At 32.2% G+C, this 18,050-nt stretch overlaps 1 protein-coding gene across 8 annotated transcripts in view; it reads right to left on the reverse strand.

Moving 5' to 3' along the window:
* Positions 1-18,050, reverse strand: part of LRRIQ3 (leucine rich repeats and IQ motif containing 3) — a 172,162-nt gene that overhangs the window by 152,422 nt on the left and 1,690 nt on the right. For all 8 annotated transcript variants that reach the window (XR_007079570.1, NM_001322315.2, NM_001105659.2 and 5 more), the window contains exons 2-3: positions 5,000-5,248; positions 4,102-4,425 (exon numbers count right to left, since the gene is read on the reverse strand). Coding sequence is in view for 7 of the 8 variants with exons in the window: in NM_001322315.2 (NP_001309244.1) it covers positions 4,102-4,425; positions 5,000-5,248 (573 nt within the window). In the remaining variant the exon portion in view is untranslated. The remainder of the gene's footprint in view (positions 1-4,101; positions 4,426-4,999; positions 5,249-18,050) is intronic.

An 18,050-nucleotide genomic window follows, 5' to 3' on the forward strand; every position in this document is an offset into this window, starting at 1 on the left:
TTACTCTATTGAGTGAATTATAAATTTACTTTTAAATAGTTTTTGGTAATTATACATATGATTTTTATATTTTGTTTGACATTTACATTAAAAGAACAAATGGATGCTAAATGCTCAAGCTAAAAATCTCTACCTTAAAATATCAACCTTGTACTGCATTATCAATTTGTTTTTCTCTGTGTGACAGAAATATTAGTTGCCTTACAAGAATCTTCCTTCTTTTTTATTAATAGAATATTGGTTTTGTTTAGGAAGTAAATGTGTCCACTTAAAAATACTCATCAAACCAGATTCCATTCTACCTAGTGGTAGTCATGTGAGGCAGTTCCAGTCATAGAAGTCTATCAAGTAAGACATTTGCAGGAGCTATTATTTCCTAATATAAAATGAACGGACTTCACTGGCATGTGATTTTTGTTCTCATCAATCCCTTTTTTCTGCCCTAAGCACATTCTTGGATGTGAAGTTCATTGCCTATGAGAGGTAGGGGGACTGTTCACTTGCTAAAGGTGGCAGAGCAGGAAGCTAGAATAAACTTGGTCCTTCATGATTTCCTTGAGCAACTACAAGGAAGGACTTCCTATATCCTAACTTTCTGTAACATGATGAAAATAAAATCCTTGTTTAGATGGATTTCTATTACATGTAAACAAAACGCAATACTGGCTGATAGCACTGGTTTCTTGCCCATATCACTCTGATCTTTAAAAAGTTACATATATACAACAATCAAAATATAAATATATATCCTTCTATGATATGATTTTAGATAACTAAGCACTTCAAATTTGTAAAGTTACTTTGATTTCGTATAGCAAAGAAGAACCCATGCTTCCTCGTTTTTTTCTGACTCAAAAAATAAAGGTTAGAAATCATTTTATGTCACAATTAAGGATAAAATCCTTCTGGATATTTTTATTGTGTTATAAGGCACAAGCTTTAATTACACTATTAGATTTGTCTCTTTTCAAATGAGCATATGCTTCTTTAATTTCTATATTCAAGCTCTCCTTGAATGTAGAATACCAATTATATAAAATAATTGTGTGAACTCTTACAAGGCTCATTATTTTTCTGTTTTCATAATATTCTTATACTCATTAATAAGTGCAATGTTCTAAAACATATATTTCAAACATTACTAAATAATTATCTCCATCGGTTCATATTTATTCCTTCTCAAGAGTTATTTTTGTTGCTGTAAATTAAATAAAATACAAAACATTTCAATGATCAAAGAATAATCAAAAGAACTTTGCTTAGTGGAAGTAATGAACACAAATTTATAGGTGGCCTCAAAAATTGTTATTCAAACAGATTTCTTTAAATCTTCACAACTCATAAAAATCATGTCAGCATTTGGTATGCCTATATCTCTTTAAGTCTTACTCCATTTGTGTTACCGTCCATTCATACTTCTTCACAATGATTTTCTCCAATTATTTCTTCATTTATGACATTTTCAGTCTCTTTCTCTTTCTAATCAAAACTCATTTATCCTCAGTTTATAAATATGGTAAATTATATATTTGGTAAGTTAAAGTGAGGCAAGTACCACTTCACTTTAATAAATCTTTCATAAATTCTATTTCCTATAGTTAAAGCTTTATTTTTCTTCTGTCCAAAATATTCTCAGTAAAGGTTCTATACTTGGCAGTTATATATAACCCACCACAATTTCATGTCCAACAACTGCAAGCTATTGAAATTCTAAAGATGCGACATCCTCTTTACCATAAAAAATTCTTCCAATATGTTTTTTTCTTTTCTATTTAATTTTTTTTTTACTCTTACCTGCTGAGATCAATTATCCTTTATCTTCATTGGTTACACTGCTTTCTACCCACAAAATGAGACAGTGCCCCAAGGTTGTGTCCTTAGTTTTCAGCCTTTATTGATCCCTGTATTTACCTGAGAGAACTAGGCTTTAACTATGACCCCAAGCAAATACTCCTGAATTTACAATCAAGTCCAGAACACTATTTCTGAATTTTTGTTTTTCATTTCCAATGTCTAGTTATTATTTCTTCTTTAATATCCTGCCTCAAAGAAGTATGACCAAACTTATCTTTTCACCAAAAGTCTTTAAGTGCTGCCATTTCTGTTAAATAAGTTCTTTTCTGTCCCAGTTATCCAGCTTCAAAATAGTAGAGGAGTATTTCCACACTTATTCTTCTCCTCTTTCCACACTCAGTGTGAAAAGTACACTCAAATCTCTGCACTGTCTGTCATTTGTGATGCAATGTTGACTGCAGACTTGTTGAAATCCCACCTCATGACTCATTTGCTGTCCAATATTGGGTAAGTTCCTAAACCTCACTATGCTTCATTTTCTCCTGTAAAATAAGACTAACATTTTTCCACATCCAAGGAAACAATGAGGAATAAATATTCTTCAAAAAGGCCTTCCCCATCCACCCTAGCTAATGTAGCCCAAATCTCTACCCCTTTCAGTCTGTGTTAATGCCTTACTTTCTTTTCTTTAGCAACTAACACTAGCTGACATTTTATGGTTGTTTAGTTTTATTTTTGTTTCCAGATTTGTCTATTCTCTGTGCCTTTCCCTTGGACTTAATGAGGACAAGAATTTTGTCAGTATTATTTACCACTGAATCTCCAAGTCCCAGACAGTCCTTTTCATATATTAGGTACTCAGTATATACTTGGTGAAAGAATGAAGAAATAAAATGTATAAAGCGCCTACCACAATGGCATTCACTGAATATGTGTCTGTCCTCTACACTGTGTTCTTTCTTCTTTATTACTGGTATCTGCCTATATCAATCCTAATCACATCATTTTGAACCTACAGTAATTGATCCCCTTGCCCTCATTTGGCTTCTATCCTCCATTAATCTGCTAGCAAAATGTTGGGTTGATCACCTTTTAAAAACCTTGTCAATACCATTTATTCATAGAGCACTTACTATGAGGGACCTACCCTAATTTTCCTACTCAAATAATTTCAATTAATCTTCATTATATTCATCAAGTCTAAGCTCTTTAGTAGGTCATCCAAGTTCTTTCTCAATGCCCACTGCCCAACTTTCCATTACTTCCTTAAATGAATCTGTCACTTCGATTATCCTTAAAAGGGTCATGCCTGTTGCCACCTTTCATTATGCCATACTACGCAACTGAAGTACCTAAGTGAAATTCTTTATTTAGGGCCCAGGTTAAGATATCAGACTTAAATACTACCTTGTTTTTTATATTTTTAACTATTAGTACAAAATTATTACCAAAATCCTAAATTTTTAAAACTATTACAAAATCACTAATATGTCCCTAATTAAAAAAATTATATGCAGTAATAAAATTCTTCCAACTTTGTAATTTTCAGTTTTTCCACGCATAATCACTGTTCAATGTTTATATATTCTTTTAGATATACTCACTGTTCAAAATTATGTTCTATTCTTCCTCAAAATTTCTACACACATATATGTGACTTCACATATCTTTAGAACATATTACAAACATTTCCTGCAACTTATTGTTACTATATCTTGTACCTAATTTAACCCCCTCTTTTGAACTCTTAAATGATTTGTTCTAATATTTATTCATGTGTTATAAAGAACGTTTCCTTATGTTTTTGTAAATCCACTTAATTAGTCTGTATCCGTTAACTTGGTATCAACTTTTCACAATCACTTCTTCTAACATTTTATAAATCAATAGATAATGATGGTTTTATCTTGTCAAATAACCAAATCAATTGTGTAAGAATTAAATATTTTATCTTCTAATAATAATCTAAGTCATCCTTTAACGCTCTTAAAAAACATTAAGTATTTCTCAATGGAGTCTTTCATATACCAAATTCTGAATAAATTAGAGATTTACTTTCAATTTAAAAAACAAAAATTTGTTTCTCTACAATTTGATCATTTCAGGCTTTGTTTAATGTAGTTGGCATGCAAACTTTTATCAAGTTTCAGATAGAAAGACATTACAAATATATTCATTGGTTTATATTATTTTATATAAATGATGCAAAAATATTAAAAAGTTTATATAATTTAGATATAGAACTCAGAAGCTAAAATTTCCCTTTTATACATTTAATTAAAATGAAACCCTAAAGAAGCCAATTACCTTTCTCAAAGCTGGGCAGAAATTAAAGAAAAGTCGATGGTTACATGCTTTGAATCTTTCAGGAAGATGCCAGTTCTGAATTATTTCTTCATCAGAAATCACATGATGATCCAGCGCTTTGAGAGGCCATATACTGTTAACAAGAACATGTCTATATCCTTTTTTAAGGCTTACTGGACAATCAAACATAGTGAGGGCAATGAGGGTTGGACAGGCAGATAATACACATATATTCTTTAACTTTGCAAACCCATTGTCATGAAGATAGAGTAGTTTTAGGTTCTTCAATCCATTCCAAAATTTGGTATTTGGTAGACTCTTTATCTGAAATATTATTAAAAATCTTTTAAATTCCAAAATTACTTTTTTCGAATAGCACAGAAAATGGTAAAATATTACACATATAAAATTCAATATTCCCCAAATAGCAAGTTTCTAATTAATAAGCAAACAGAGTATTTATAATTATCCAATGATGGCCAGTTGAAAACCATAATACACTGGGTATCTGAGATAATTTATTATTATTCGCATAGTAAAATGCATAACCATACTTTTTTGTTCAAAGAAAATTTCTTTGTAATAGGTTGACTCTTTAAACTTTTCTAAAATACTTTCCTTACCTAAGGAAAATTAAGGAATCATGAGGCATTCTTAATCCAGGCTATAGATTTAAGAAGTGAAACATACCAGATTACACACTATTTATGTATTTTCATTTACATCAAAGTGTCCGTATTTATATACATCTTACATGCTTTTAATTTATTGTTAAATTTTTGTTTATATTTTAGACAAAAGACCATGTTGAAGAAATACTGTGGATAGGTAACATAAGTACTTATTATAAGACTGAAATTTCGTTTATATGCAAATATCTGAAATGGCTATTGCTTACCTGATTTCCATGGAGATCAAGTTTGATTAATTTTATACAACTTTGAAGTGGATGAATATCTGTAATAAAATTGTTTGAGAAGATGCATACTCTAAGAGAGATGCAAGACTGCAAATTTTCCATAGACTTTAAATGAAGGCCATTGAACTTCACAAAAACAAAATCTTTTTGACCTTCTCTTATGTTTTCATTATAGTGACTCCATTCTTCATGACTGGTTAGCTCTTCTGTGACTGTTCCATGAAACATCTAGGAAAGATAAGAAAGTGCTTTGATTTTTTTTTCCACTTTCAAAAATTTACCTGAAAACAAACAAAATTTTGCCAAGAGATAGCGCAAGTAAAAAGTGTTATTAAAGTTAAAATTTAAAAAAACTCATTCTTATAGAACTTTCTATCCCAAAATAACTTAAATATCTAACATTTCAATAACAGCCAATCAGAATGTTATCACTGCCCTCACCAGTGAACGAACTAATTAGCAAGAGGAAGACAAACTTCCATTTTCATAGAATATTTGAAAAATTCAGTGAAGAAACTGAGATAAAATCATCCCTTCTAGACAAGACAACTAACAACAAACAAATGAAACCATACTTTATATAACTCGTATGATAATTTTTGTTAAAATATACTGTTAAAGAAATACACTGAATAATAAACAAGTCAGGAGAGTGATAATCTTTGTTAAAGAGGCTAAACAATGCAGCCAGATAAAATAAAGGTGCTATACAGGCCTTCAAATGTTATCAACAATATTTGTGTCTTACAGAGAAAATTTGTTGTCAAAATATTTACATTCAATTCAATTAGGAAATTAGGCTCAGAATTCTAATAGCTTTAAATTTTGACTACTTAAATTTATCTAAAATATTTGGATAAATGGTTTTTAATATAATTTTACACAGTATTTCTCATATATGTGAATTTTCACTTATTAAGAGTAATTTCAGCTTTCATAAAAGGTAGTCAGTGATAGGTGAGAAGAGAATGTATGAGCTGAAGTGGTCTATTTGGAAGTATGTTTTAAGATCAACATTCCCCAATGGAAGAATCGATTTCTACGATGTGCAGATAAACTAAATCAGTGTGATTCAAATGAGAATAAATGTGAAAATCCAGATACACTCTTGTACTCTTTCAAGACACTGGTTACTTTATATATCACAACCAAGGCCTAAAACTAGAATCCTCCAGCTCTAAGTGTCAATGAATTAATTAGAAGGCAGATTCATGGGCCCCATCTCATATCTACTGTATCAGAATTTCTGGGCTAAGGGCATAGGAATAATGTTAACAGGTGATCGACGAACACCTTATGAAAGATTAGCCTCAACTACAAGTAAACCAGTCTTAAAAATATAGAGTCAGATATGGAATACACAGATATAAATAAACCTTTACAAATTAAACTCATGAAGCTCTATTGGTGCTGGGATGTAGGATAATATACACATCATTTGGACTTCCAAAATAGAAAAGATATAAGTCTTTCCTCATTTAAAGAAAGCTTAAATTTAAGGTTCCTCCAAGTCTTTAGAAAAATAACTCATTTTTTAAAGTACTGAATAACATTCCATCGCATGGATGCACTATGGTTTGGTTTATTTATCCATTCACCTATTGAAAATGTCTTGGCTGTTTCCAACTTTACACAATTATGAATAAAAGTGCTATAAAAATTTATGTGCAGGTTTTTGTGTGGATATGTTTTCAACTTACTTGGATAAATACCAAGGAGTTTGTTTGCTGAATCACATAATATATTTCATTTTGTAAAAAACTGCTACTGTCTTCCAATGTGGTTGTACCATTTGGACTCCCACCAGCAATGAATGAGAGATTTTATTGCTCCACAACCTCACCAGTACATAATGTTGTCAATGTTTTGATTTTGGTCATATTAATAGGTGAATAATGGTATCTCATTGCTTTAATTTGCAATTCCCTAATAATATATGATGTTGAGCATCTTTCATACATGTGGCTTATTAGCCACATGTATATCTTCCTTGGTGAGTTATCTGTTCAGATCTTTTGTCCATTATATTTTGATTGTGGTATTGTGTTATTGTTGAGTTTGAGTACTTTGTATTACTTCAGATACCAATCCTTTGTCAGATATGTGTTTTCCAAAGTTTTTTTTTCCCATTCTGTGGCTTGCCTTTTCATTTTCTTAATTTTCATTTCATTTTTAGCTCATAAATGCATAAAAAGTCCTTGAAAGGGCCGGGCGCAGTGGCTCACGCCTGTAATCCCAGCACTTTGGGAGGCTGAGGCGGGCGGATTACCAGGTCAGGAGATCAAGACCATCCTGGCTAATACGGTGAAACCCCGTCTCTACTAAAAATACAAAAAATTAGCCGGACGTGGTGGCGGGCGCCTGTGGTCCCAGCTACTCGGGAGGCTGAGGCAGGAGAATGGTGTGAACCCAGGAGCGTGCACTCCAGCCTGGGCGACAGAGCAAGACTACGTCTCAAAAAAAAAAGTCCTTGAAAAACCAACACCGATCAACATGGAACCTCAGAGATCTCATTTCTTCACATAATGCTAAAGGTGGCTTTATACTGTTAATCATGGCATTAGTACACAAATTATATATATGTACACAAAATTATATATATAATTATATTTAATATATAGCTATATAAATATATATAAATATTTTTATTTCAAAGGATTTATTTCTCACATTGATTATTCCATCTCTTAACAGTCTATTTTGAAATTTCTTTATGAAGATATTATCTTCTTCCTGGCATTTATTTTCAGGGATTCTCAACAGTGCTATTAATCAAATATAGTTAGTAATGTCTATAGATTCATCCACCAGGAATAATTGTTTATTTTAAACCTTCTGCATTAATGCTATCTATATGCCATTTGAACATGCCAATGAACTACTAATGGTATTATTCCAAAGTGGAGTTTTTTCTATTTTCCTTACTGATCTCAGATATATTAGAGAATTTTCCAAAATGAGAGGTTCTACACTTGTGTGAGACATTCAAATTTTAGCTATTAGATGAATAACCTTGTTAGTAGCTTTGTGACATTAACAAATACTGTTGTAATGAACCTGATAAAATAACATTGTCCCCTCCCACCAAAATTCTTAAATATGTTCAAATATTTTTCTACATAAAATTTGTAATATATAATAAGGGAATTGGTATGATTGGCACTATTGCCTCACTTGAAAACTTCTTGTAAATAAGACATAGAGTTTGAGGAAGAAATGAAATATTGGTTCACACAAATCCAAATTTGGGATAATGCTCATGATATTACTTAATTCAATGCCTTTTTTTTCCATTTTGTACAACAGTTTACTTTTCAGTTTCAATCAAAAAGATGTCTATTAGAAAAAAAATTGTAAGAATTAAGTACTAGTGTAATTAAGGATATATTAAATTCAAATTTGAGATCTTTTTGATGTTACTTAATGCAGTGTCTTTTCCTCCATTTTGTTCAACTGCCTACTTTTTAGCTTTAATCAATGACTATTATAAGCAAGAAAAAAAATCACTAATCATCAGGGAAATGTAAATTAAAACCTTACTCCTGCAAGAATGGCCATAATTAAAAAGTCAAAAAACAATAGATGCTGTCGTGGATGTGGTGAAAAGGGAATACTGCTGGTGGGAATGTAAACTAGTATAACCACTATGGAAAACAGTATGGAAATTCCTTAAGGAACTAAAGGTAGAACTACCATTTGATCCAAAAATCCCACTACTGGGTATCTATCCAAAGGAAAATAATTCATTATATAAAAAAGACACATGAACATACATGTTTATAGCAGCACAACTCACAATTGCAAAGATATGGTACAAACCTAAGTACCCATCAACTAATTAGTGGATTAAAAAAATGTGAGAGAGATATATAGATATATATATATAGGTATATGTTTACACACACACACACACACACACACACACACCATGGAATACCACTCAGCCACAAAAAGGAACAAAACAATGTCTTCTGCAGCAACTTGGATGTAGCCCAGAAGGCTATTATTCAAAGTGAAGTAACTCAGGAATGGAAAACCAAATATCATAAGTTCTCACATATAAGTGTGAGCTAAGCTGTGAGGATGCAAAGGCCTAAGAATGATATAATGTACTTTGAGGACTCAAGGGTGAAGGTTGGGAGGGTCACGAGGTATAGAAGACTACATACTGGGTACAGTGCACACTGCTTGGGTGACAGGTACACTCAAATCTCAGAAATCATCACTAAAGAACCTATCCATGTAACAAAATAGCACCTGTACCCCAACAACTATTGAAATAAAAATTAAAAAACAACAAAAAAAGTCAAAAAATAACAGATGCTGGTGATGTGGAGAAAAAGGAACGCTTATACATTGTTGGTGGGAGTGTAAATTAGTTCAACCATTGTGGAAGACAGTGTGGCAATTTCCCAAAGACCTAAAAACAGAAACAACATTTGACCCAGCAATCCCATTACTGGGTATATACCTAAAGCAATAAAAATTGTTCTATTATAAAGACACATATACGTATGTTCACTGCACCACTATTCACAATAGCAAACACATGGAATCAACCTAAATGCCCATAAATGGTAGACTGGATAAAGAAAATGTGGTACATTTACACCATGGAATACTATACAACCATAAAAAGAATGAGATCATGTCCTTTACAGGAACATGGATAAAGCTGGAGGATATTATCCTCAGCAAAAAAATGCAGGGATAGAAAACCAAATACTGCATTTTCTCCCTTATATGTGGAAGCTAAATTATGAAAACACATGGACACATAAAGGGGAACAACACACTGGGGCCTACTAGAGGGAGGAGAGTGGGAGGAGGGAGAGGATTAAGAAAAATAACTAATGGGCACTAGGCTTAACACCTGGGTGACTAAATCAATTGTACAACAAATTACCCTGAAACAAGATTACCTATGTATCAAACCTGTACATCTATCCCTGAACTTAAAGCAAAAATTTAAAAAATCCAAACTATTAAGAACCCTGGCTTCTTAGTTAATGAAATGTGCTAACCTGCTATCTTAGGATGTTACACTTCTCTCTCAGTGTAACCTTCTTTGGCAAATTATTGTCTAGTCATTATTTAGACTCTGATTCTATCCACACATCCCCAATTTAGTGATTACATATTTATATATGTTATTATTTAATGGCCCTGTTTTCCACTAAATTATATGTACCCTGTGAACAGAAAACTTGTTTTATGGTTAGGTAGTTTTTCAAATTTTTCCATAGGACCTGAACTAGAACTGAGTCAGGTTTCAATAAATGTCTCTTTCATACACATGTCTGTCTTTTCCTTTCCTCAGAGAAACAGCAAACTATGGGGAAGGAACCTGTAAAAGACTTCTAAGTACAAATGACAAAGTCTCTCCCATTTCGGTAGAAATCTATTGTAAATTCCTTTATTTTTAATTCTCCACAGCCAATAATCACTTGCAAAACAACAAAAAAGGTTTATTTTTCAATTATTTATGTAGTGTAACAAATCACTCCAAAATTTATTGGCTTAAAATAACCATCATTTTGTTACTCTGAAGATTCTGTGTGTTGACTCAGTTGAAGTAAGCAGTTCTCCAACTGACAGTGGCTGAAGCATCAGTTAGTTCACTCCTCCAGTGAACTGCTGGAAGGTTAGGTTCAGCTGGAATGCTGAGATGAACCAGTCTTTCTTTCCATACTGTCTCAGGACCTCTCTATGTTGACCTGTCCTCTCCATGTCATCTATCCATGTGTGTCTGAAATAGGGTAGCCAGACTTTCTACATGCTTAAGGGCTCCCAAAGCATAAAAGCAGAACCTGTCCAAACTTCCTAAGGCTTAGGTTCAACTGAAGCGTCTCCTCAGCCACATTCTACTGGTTACGACAAGTTCATTTTATTTTTCAAGCACCCTATAAACTAAGTACAGAAAAAGGAAATGAAATGTAAGTTGTTCTGAGATTGGTGATCTCAAGTAAATTATGTATGCTGTGCCTCAGTTTCCTTATCTGTAAAAAGAAGATAATAATAACAGCCCATAGAATTTTTATGAGGACGAAATAAGTCAACCTAAAGGGTTTAGAACAGTGTTTGGCACTTAATGATATGGTTGGGCTGTGTCCCCACCCAAATCTCATCTTAATTGTAGCTCCCATAATTTCCACTTGCTGTGGGAGAGACCCAGTGGGAGATAATTGAATGATGGTGGCAGTTTTCTCCATACCGTTCTTGTGGTAGTGAATAAGTCTCATGAGAGCTGATGGTTTTATAAGGGGAAACCCCTTTTTCTTTGTTCTCATTCTCTCTTGTCTGCTGCCATGTAAGATGTGACTTCCACCTTCTACCACGATTCTGAGGCCTCCCCAGCCACATGGAACTGTGAGTCCACTGAGCCTCTTTTTCTTTATAAATTACCCGGTGTTGAGTGTGTCTTTATCAGCAGCATGAAAACAGACTAATACAGTAAGCACTACAAAATTAATTGAATGCCTAGTTCCATTAACAATTCAAGATAAAATATATGCTTCAAAAAGTGTATCAAGGGACCTGCAGTTTCCAGTATGGCATGTAAGGAGCTTGGAGTAGTCACTCCATCCTAACAACACATTAGAAAGCTGAACAAACTAAAAATCAACAACTTTTCTTAGCTACACAAAGTAAGGTCATAGGGTAAACTGCTGACCACAAAATTGGAGCAACAGACAGGCAGTACAGAAACTCATCAGGAACAGACACACAGATGTCAGGGATGTTGGAAATATCAGACTGGGAATTGAAAACAACTAGGATTAATATGCTAATGGCTCTAATAGAAAAAGTAGGCAACATACAAGAACAAATGGATAATGTAGGTAGAGAGATAGATATTCTAAGAAAGAATAAAAAAGAAATGGTAGAGACCAAAAACATTATAACAGAAATGAAGAATACCTTTGAAGGGCTCATTAGTAGATGGGACATGACTGATAAAAGAATCTCTGACTTTGAGGATATGTCAACAAAAACATTCAAAACTAAAAACCAAAGAGAAAAAAAAAGACTGAAAAAAAACATAACATTCCAGAAGTGTGGGACTTCTAAATGTGTAACATACGTGTAATAAAAATGCCAAAAAAGGAAAAATAGAAAGGAATAAAAGCAGTATTTAAAACAATAATGAATGACAATTTACTCTAACATCGGACACTAAGCCACAGATTCAAGAAACAGAGAACATCATGTAGGATAAATGTAAGAAAATAAAAAAAAAACAACCTCACACCTAGATAATTAATATACAAACTTCAGAAAATCAAAGGTAAAAAAAAAATCTTGGAAAAAGCCAAAGAATTTTTAAAAAATCTTACTTATAAAGGATCACAGATAATAACGACATTTGATTTATCAGAAACCATGCAGGCAGAAGATAGTGGAGTGAAATATTTGAAGTGTTAAGAGAAAAAAAACTCACTGACCTAGAATTTATAAGGGGAAACCCCTTTCACTTGGTTCTCATTCTCTCTTGTCTGCCGCCATGTAAGATATGCCTTCCACCTTCTGTCATGATGCTGAGGCCTCCCCAGCCACATGGAACTGTGAGTCCACTAAACCTCTTTTTCTTTATAAATTACCCAGTGTTGAGTGTGTCTTTATCAGCAGCATGAAAACAGACTAATACAGTAAGCTCTACAAAATTAATTGAATGCCTAGTTCCATTAACAATTCGAGATAAAATATATGCTTCAAAAACTATATCAAGGACACTGTATGGTGCAAAATTATTCTTTAAAAGTGAAAAAGAAATAAATTCTGTTAGATAAATATTGAAGTAATTTGTTGTTGGTAGGCCTGCCTTGTAAGAAATGTTAAAAGAAGTTCTGAGAGAAGAGAAATGATATAGGTCAGATACTCATATCTATGTTAAGAAAGAGTGTTGGGAAAGGAACAAGTGAGGATAAAATAAAAATCTCTTATTTTTCTTATTCTTAGTTGAATAATTTGTCCAAAATAATAATAGCAACTAGTTTTATTTTAATTCATCCAACAACAACAGAATATACATTCTTTTCAAGCTCACATGGAGCATTCACTCACCAAGACAGACCACATTCTGGGCCATAAAACATGCCTTATCAAATTCAAAAGAACAGAAGCCATGCAACATCTTCTCTCAGACCACAGTGGAATTAAACTAGATATCAATAACAGGCAAACAGCTGGAAAATTCCAAAATACTTGGGAGATTTATAAACACACTTCTAAGTAACACATAGGTCAATAAAAATTTAAAGATATTTTGAACTAATAAAAATAAAATGTAAAATTTAGCAAAATTTGTGGGATATAGTACAAGCAGTGCTTAAAAGGAAATTCATAGCACTGAATACATATATTAGAAAAGAGCAAAGATCTAAAATGAATCATATAAGCTGCCATTTCTAGAACTTGAAAAAGAGCAGCAAATTTAATCCAAAGTAAATATGAGAAAATTTTTCTCATATTTTTCAAGAAAATTGTAATTCTTAATTATATTCTCAAATATTCTGGGAGGAGGGGCATATTTTATCATCATCTCATTCCAGAAGAGTCCATAAAGATCTATAGTCTCTATAAAAAATAAATACTCTACTCAGATTATATGTAGGTTCTTCTACAATGTAAAGCATCTAACCATTAACCTGTAGTTCACATGTTTAGTGAAGAGTGGGGAGGTCTTTCCATATACTCACTGTGGTTACTTTTACCATGCAATAATAAATCTCACTCCAAAATGTATCCTTTCCTTATCTGTTAGGACATTCAGAGTTAATTTTTTTCCAACTTTTATTTTAGAATCAGGGAGTACATGTGCAGGTTTGTTACAAAAGTATATTGCATAATGCTGCAATTTGGAGTATGAATGAATTTGTCACCCAAGAAGTAAGCATAGCACCCAACAGGTAGTTTCTTTTCAGCCCTTACCTGTCATCCTCTCTCCCAATTCTTGTATTCCTCTCAAATACCAAATCTTATCCGAAATATGTGTCTAAAAACATATTTTTCAGTTCCTCTTTACTGATTTTTGTTTCATATGTATTCAATATTTTAAAATCTTCTCAACTGGTTTCTTTTTAGTTGATGTGATATGAACACTAAAATAATTTAGTCTTATAAGCAGTCTTCCCCATACACTATATTAATTTACATTCATTTTCTCTATTAATATTCACCTCTGCCAACAATATGTATTTGCCAGTATATAAACAACCTTAATATTTTTAAAAATTACAAAACAGAACATAATAATACTGGTTATTGCTATTAAAAGGAAAGATTAACATGAGTAATAAATTACAGAAAAAACTAGTATTCTATATTCAGAATATAACGTATGTGTCAGTTATTTATATTATTCAGCTACATATTCTGTCGAACTTTCCAATCATTATGGAAAAGTGGGGATTTTTCATATTTTGTTTTAACTACCACATGCAGCATTTCAATTTTGTTTCTCATTATTTATTTATGTTGTACATCTGAAAACTGGAATAACTCAAATGACCAGGCCCCAGAGCATGTCCCCTGAATCATATCATTGCAGCTATGGGCCCATATGATTCTACTGCCTACCAAGGGAAGCTAAAAACCACTACAATTGATATATCCTCCTCTACCAAGTTGGAAGCCCTTTACCACTTGTTGCAAATTTAAAATATGCACATAGAGGAGGAATCTAGTCACTTTCATTCATTTTAGACTTTGATAATTTTATAACTATTTTGTGAAATGTATATACACATTTGTAAATTATCAAGTTCAAATAATAATATAATGTTCAAAGGCAAATTAAGTATAGCAACACGTTACAGAACGTATCAAGTCTCCAACCACAGTTTCAAAGAAATTCTGCAGTTAAAAATAAATCAGTACCATTATCAGCAAACCTTTCCTTAGTTTGTATCAACTAAAGTACCAATTTAAAAATTATCCTACATTTTAATTGCACTATATAAACCATGTCTATAAAATAAAATGCACATCAGTTATATCTCATCTTCACACCCAACTTTGATGGCAAACACATTAAGTGTAACTATACAAGGTTATAACTCATGAATATTTAAATTAAATATTAAGAAGTAAAAACTATTTATTTTGTATATTTATTTCTTTTCCAAATGTGATACATAATAAATATTGGGAAAAAAGTTTTCAAAGAAAGTCTTTGCTGAGTGTACTAATTACCTTTAGACTTAACACTTATTCACTGAAGCTTTCAGATACTTGGAAGACAGATCATCATTATTTTAAGTAATATATTAAAATATTAGATTTGATGGTCTACATGAAAGTAATTTATTTTATAAGCATGAACTATAATATTAGATGGAAATCTGAATACTAGACTCCAGAATTATCACAACAGCTGTTATCTGCATATAAAATCAAATCATAAAAAAAGAATAAAAAGTCTTAGTTTTTAGAAAATCTAATTGTAAGGATTCTAATCAGTAACATTTTATACATATTGTGATTACAAACTATTTTTAGTTTAGAATGTCTGCAACATATTAAGTGCATCTCTATTAACAAAATAAAGAAATTATATTTTTTAAATACTTTTTATTTGGATAACAGATTTGTTAAGTAACGACTGTTTTAATAAAGAATTGCCATGGGCCGGTGCAGTGACTCATGCCTGCATAATCCCAGAACTTTGAGAGGCCAAGGCAAGAGAATGCTTGAGTCCAGGAGTGAGCTATGATCTGCCATTGCACTCCAGCATGGGTGAAAGGTTGTCTCTAAAAATAAAAATCCTGTCTCTAAAAATATAAAAGAATTGCCATAATTTTATATCACAGAAAAAATATATTTTAAAAGTTAAGAAGGGGAGAGTCTAGTAGAACAGTCAGACTAGTACATGTGTCCTGGAAAATGAACACAGAATATAGTGCATTTATAACTTAATATAAATAACCTTGGTAGCACAAAACATTATATTTTCATGGCATATTCTATATGTTTTCAAATGACATGAAAAGTCATTCAGAACAAGGAATCAGAATTCATTTGTAATTATAACTTTTTTTCTTTAAATATATTGGCTTTTTGAATTTTAGAAGGTTATATACTTCTGTTCAGAAAAAAAGCTTTTGTGAGACCTCATTTTTCAATTTTTATTTTTATTCCAACTTGGAGACTGCAAAAGCATAAGCCTGAAAAAACTAAAAGGTGGTGAGCCAGAAGATGGATATTAAACAGCCAAAATTAATAAAAACATTCACAGAAAATAATCTGCACAGAAATCACAACCTCTTAATAAAGAAATTAGCACGACAAATATTTCTTCTAGCCCAAAACATTCCTTGGTTAGCTTTCATAGAACAGATTTTGGATCTCCTAAAATTAAGCCATTAATACCTTTTTCTTAAGTGTCATAAATATTGTATTACATTAATTAAAATTTAATTCTTGACTCTACTAATTTATATTCTTCAACCACTTGCCCTCTCCCTATCCCTTTCCCCTCCCCGAAACCTCATCCTGGTATTTGGACAAAGTAGATTATGATTACACTACTGGGGAACTCCATTTGGAAAAAAAATCTACAAAAATACTAAGGGAGGAAGTATAATAAAAGTTCAGGGGTGGGAGAATGTTTCTCTGCACTACAGAAAGTTGAGGGGTGTGAGGGTTCCTCCAACAGGGCATAGTGAGAAAAAAAATATTTAAGAAATAAATTGAGAACAGGCTAGCTGAGTAAATAAATCGAAATAAAACAAACTGCAAAAAGACAATTTTTGCTTTCGTTGCATGTCAGGAAGGGTAACAGGAGGAAACAGTGGTTAAACAGAGCCATGAAGCACAAGGACTGGAAACAAGTACAGCCCTAGCTTGGCCTGACCACAGCATGCACTACGAGCTCCACAGTATATAATCCAGGACCCTATTCATTTGGCTTCAACTTCCTCATATAAAGAAGGGGGGAAAATTAAAACATTCTTCTCTATAATTTCCACACAACAGTCATAGTTATATGCCTGTAGTAATAAAAAAACAGTGTAACTGGCATTAACTGTAAATGGGTTGGAAGACATTTTAATGGGGGGATGAAAATGTTCTAAACCTGTACCTCAATAAAGTTGCTTTAAAAAATCTATCTCATTCTTCCTTATGGCAGCTCTTCAGATACTCTCTACTCTCCTCCTGGAAATAAAAAGCCCAAATGCCTCCACAGAATATAATTTTTCAATTTATTATAGTCTAGTATGTTCAACATCTTTTTAAAAATGTGGAATCCAAAACTAAACAGATTATTTCCTGTGTGTTTGATTTGTGCAGAATTAATGGGCTTACAGCTTGGCTGGATTGATATATTTTACTCTGGTAAAATGACATTCTGATAAATACCTGGAAAAACTCTGTGGCGAATTCTCTAGTATAATAATACTCTGGTAGCTTAAGATGTTAAACAGTCATATCACACTGTTTTATTATAGTGAATATGAACTTAAATAAAATCCCTAAACTTTTTTTGCCTCCAACAATCAACTGCCACGGAAATTTACTCCTACTCATATATATAGTATTTTTTAATTTTTTTTTTACTAAAAATTAATATTAATGAAAATTTGAGAAAAGAAAGAAAACAGAAGCCATAGCTGATAATATGGTATATTTATTTCCAGCAAATTTTGATTGCATGATATAGTCATATTGAGAAAAAATAATATCCAATTTCTATGGCCATCCTTCCCAGATCCAAGAAATACTCTAATATTCTGTATGATACCGTCCTAGATCCAATAAATACTCTATTTAATATTCTGTATGATAGAATCTAACACATCACTCTGTTTGTCTCCTCACAATTGTTACCACTGGATTTTTTATTTGGTTACTTCTTCCTTCTTTATTTCACCTTATTAGAATATACAGACCCCAAACATATAGGCTCTGCTGACCTTCACTCCCTTGGGACCTCACTTAGTTCCACAGTTAAAATTAATTCTATCTTCTTGCTGACAATTCCCAAAATTGTATCTCTAGCCCAGACCTCTCTCCTGAATTCTAGACTCGT

The sequence above is a fragment of the Homo sapiens genome, chromosome 1, assembly GCF_000001405.40.
Source record: "Homo sapiens chromosome 1, GRCh38.p14 Primary Assembly".
Lineage (NCBI taxonomy): Eukaryota > Metazoa > Chordata > Mammalia > Primates > Hominidae > Homo > Homo sapiens.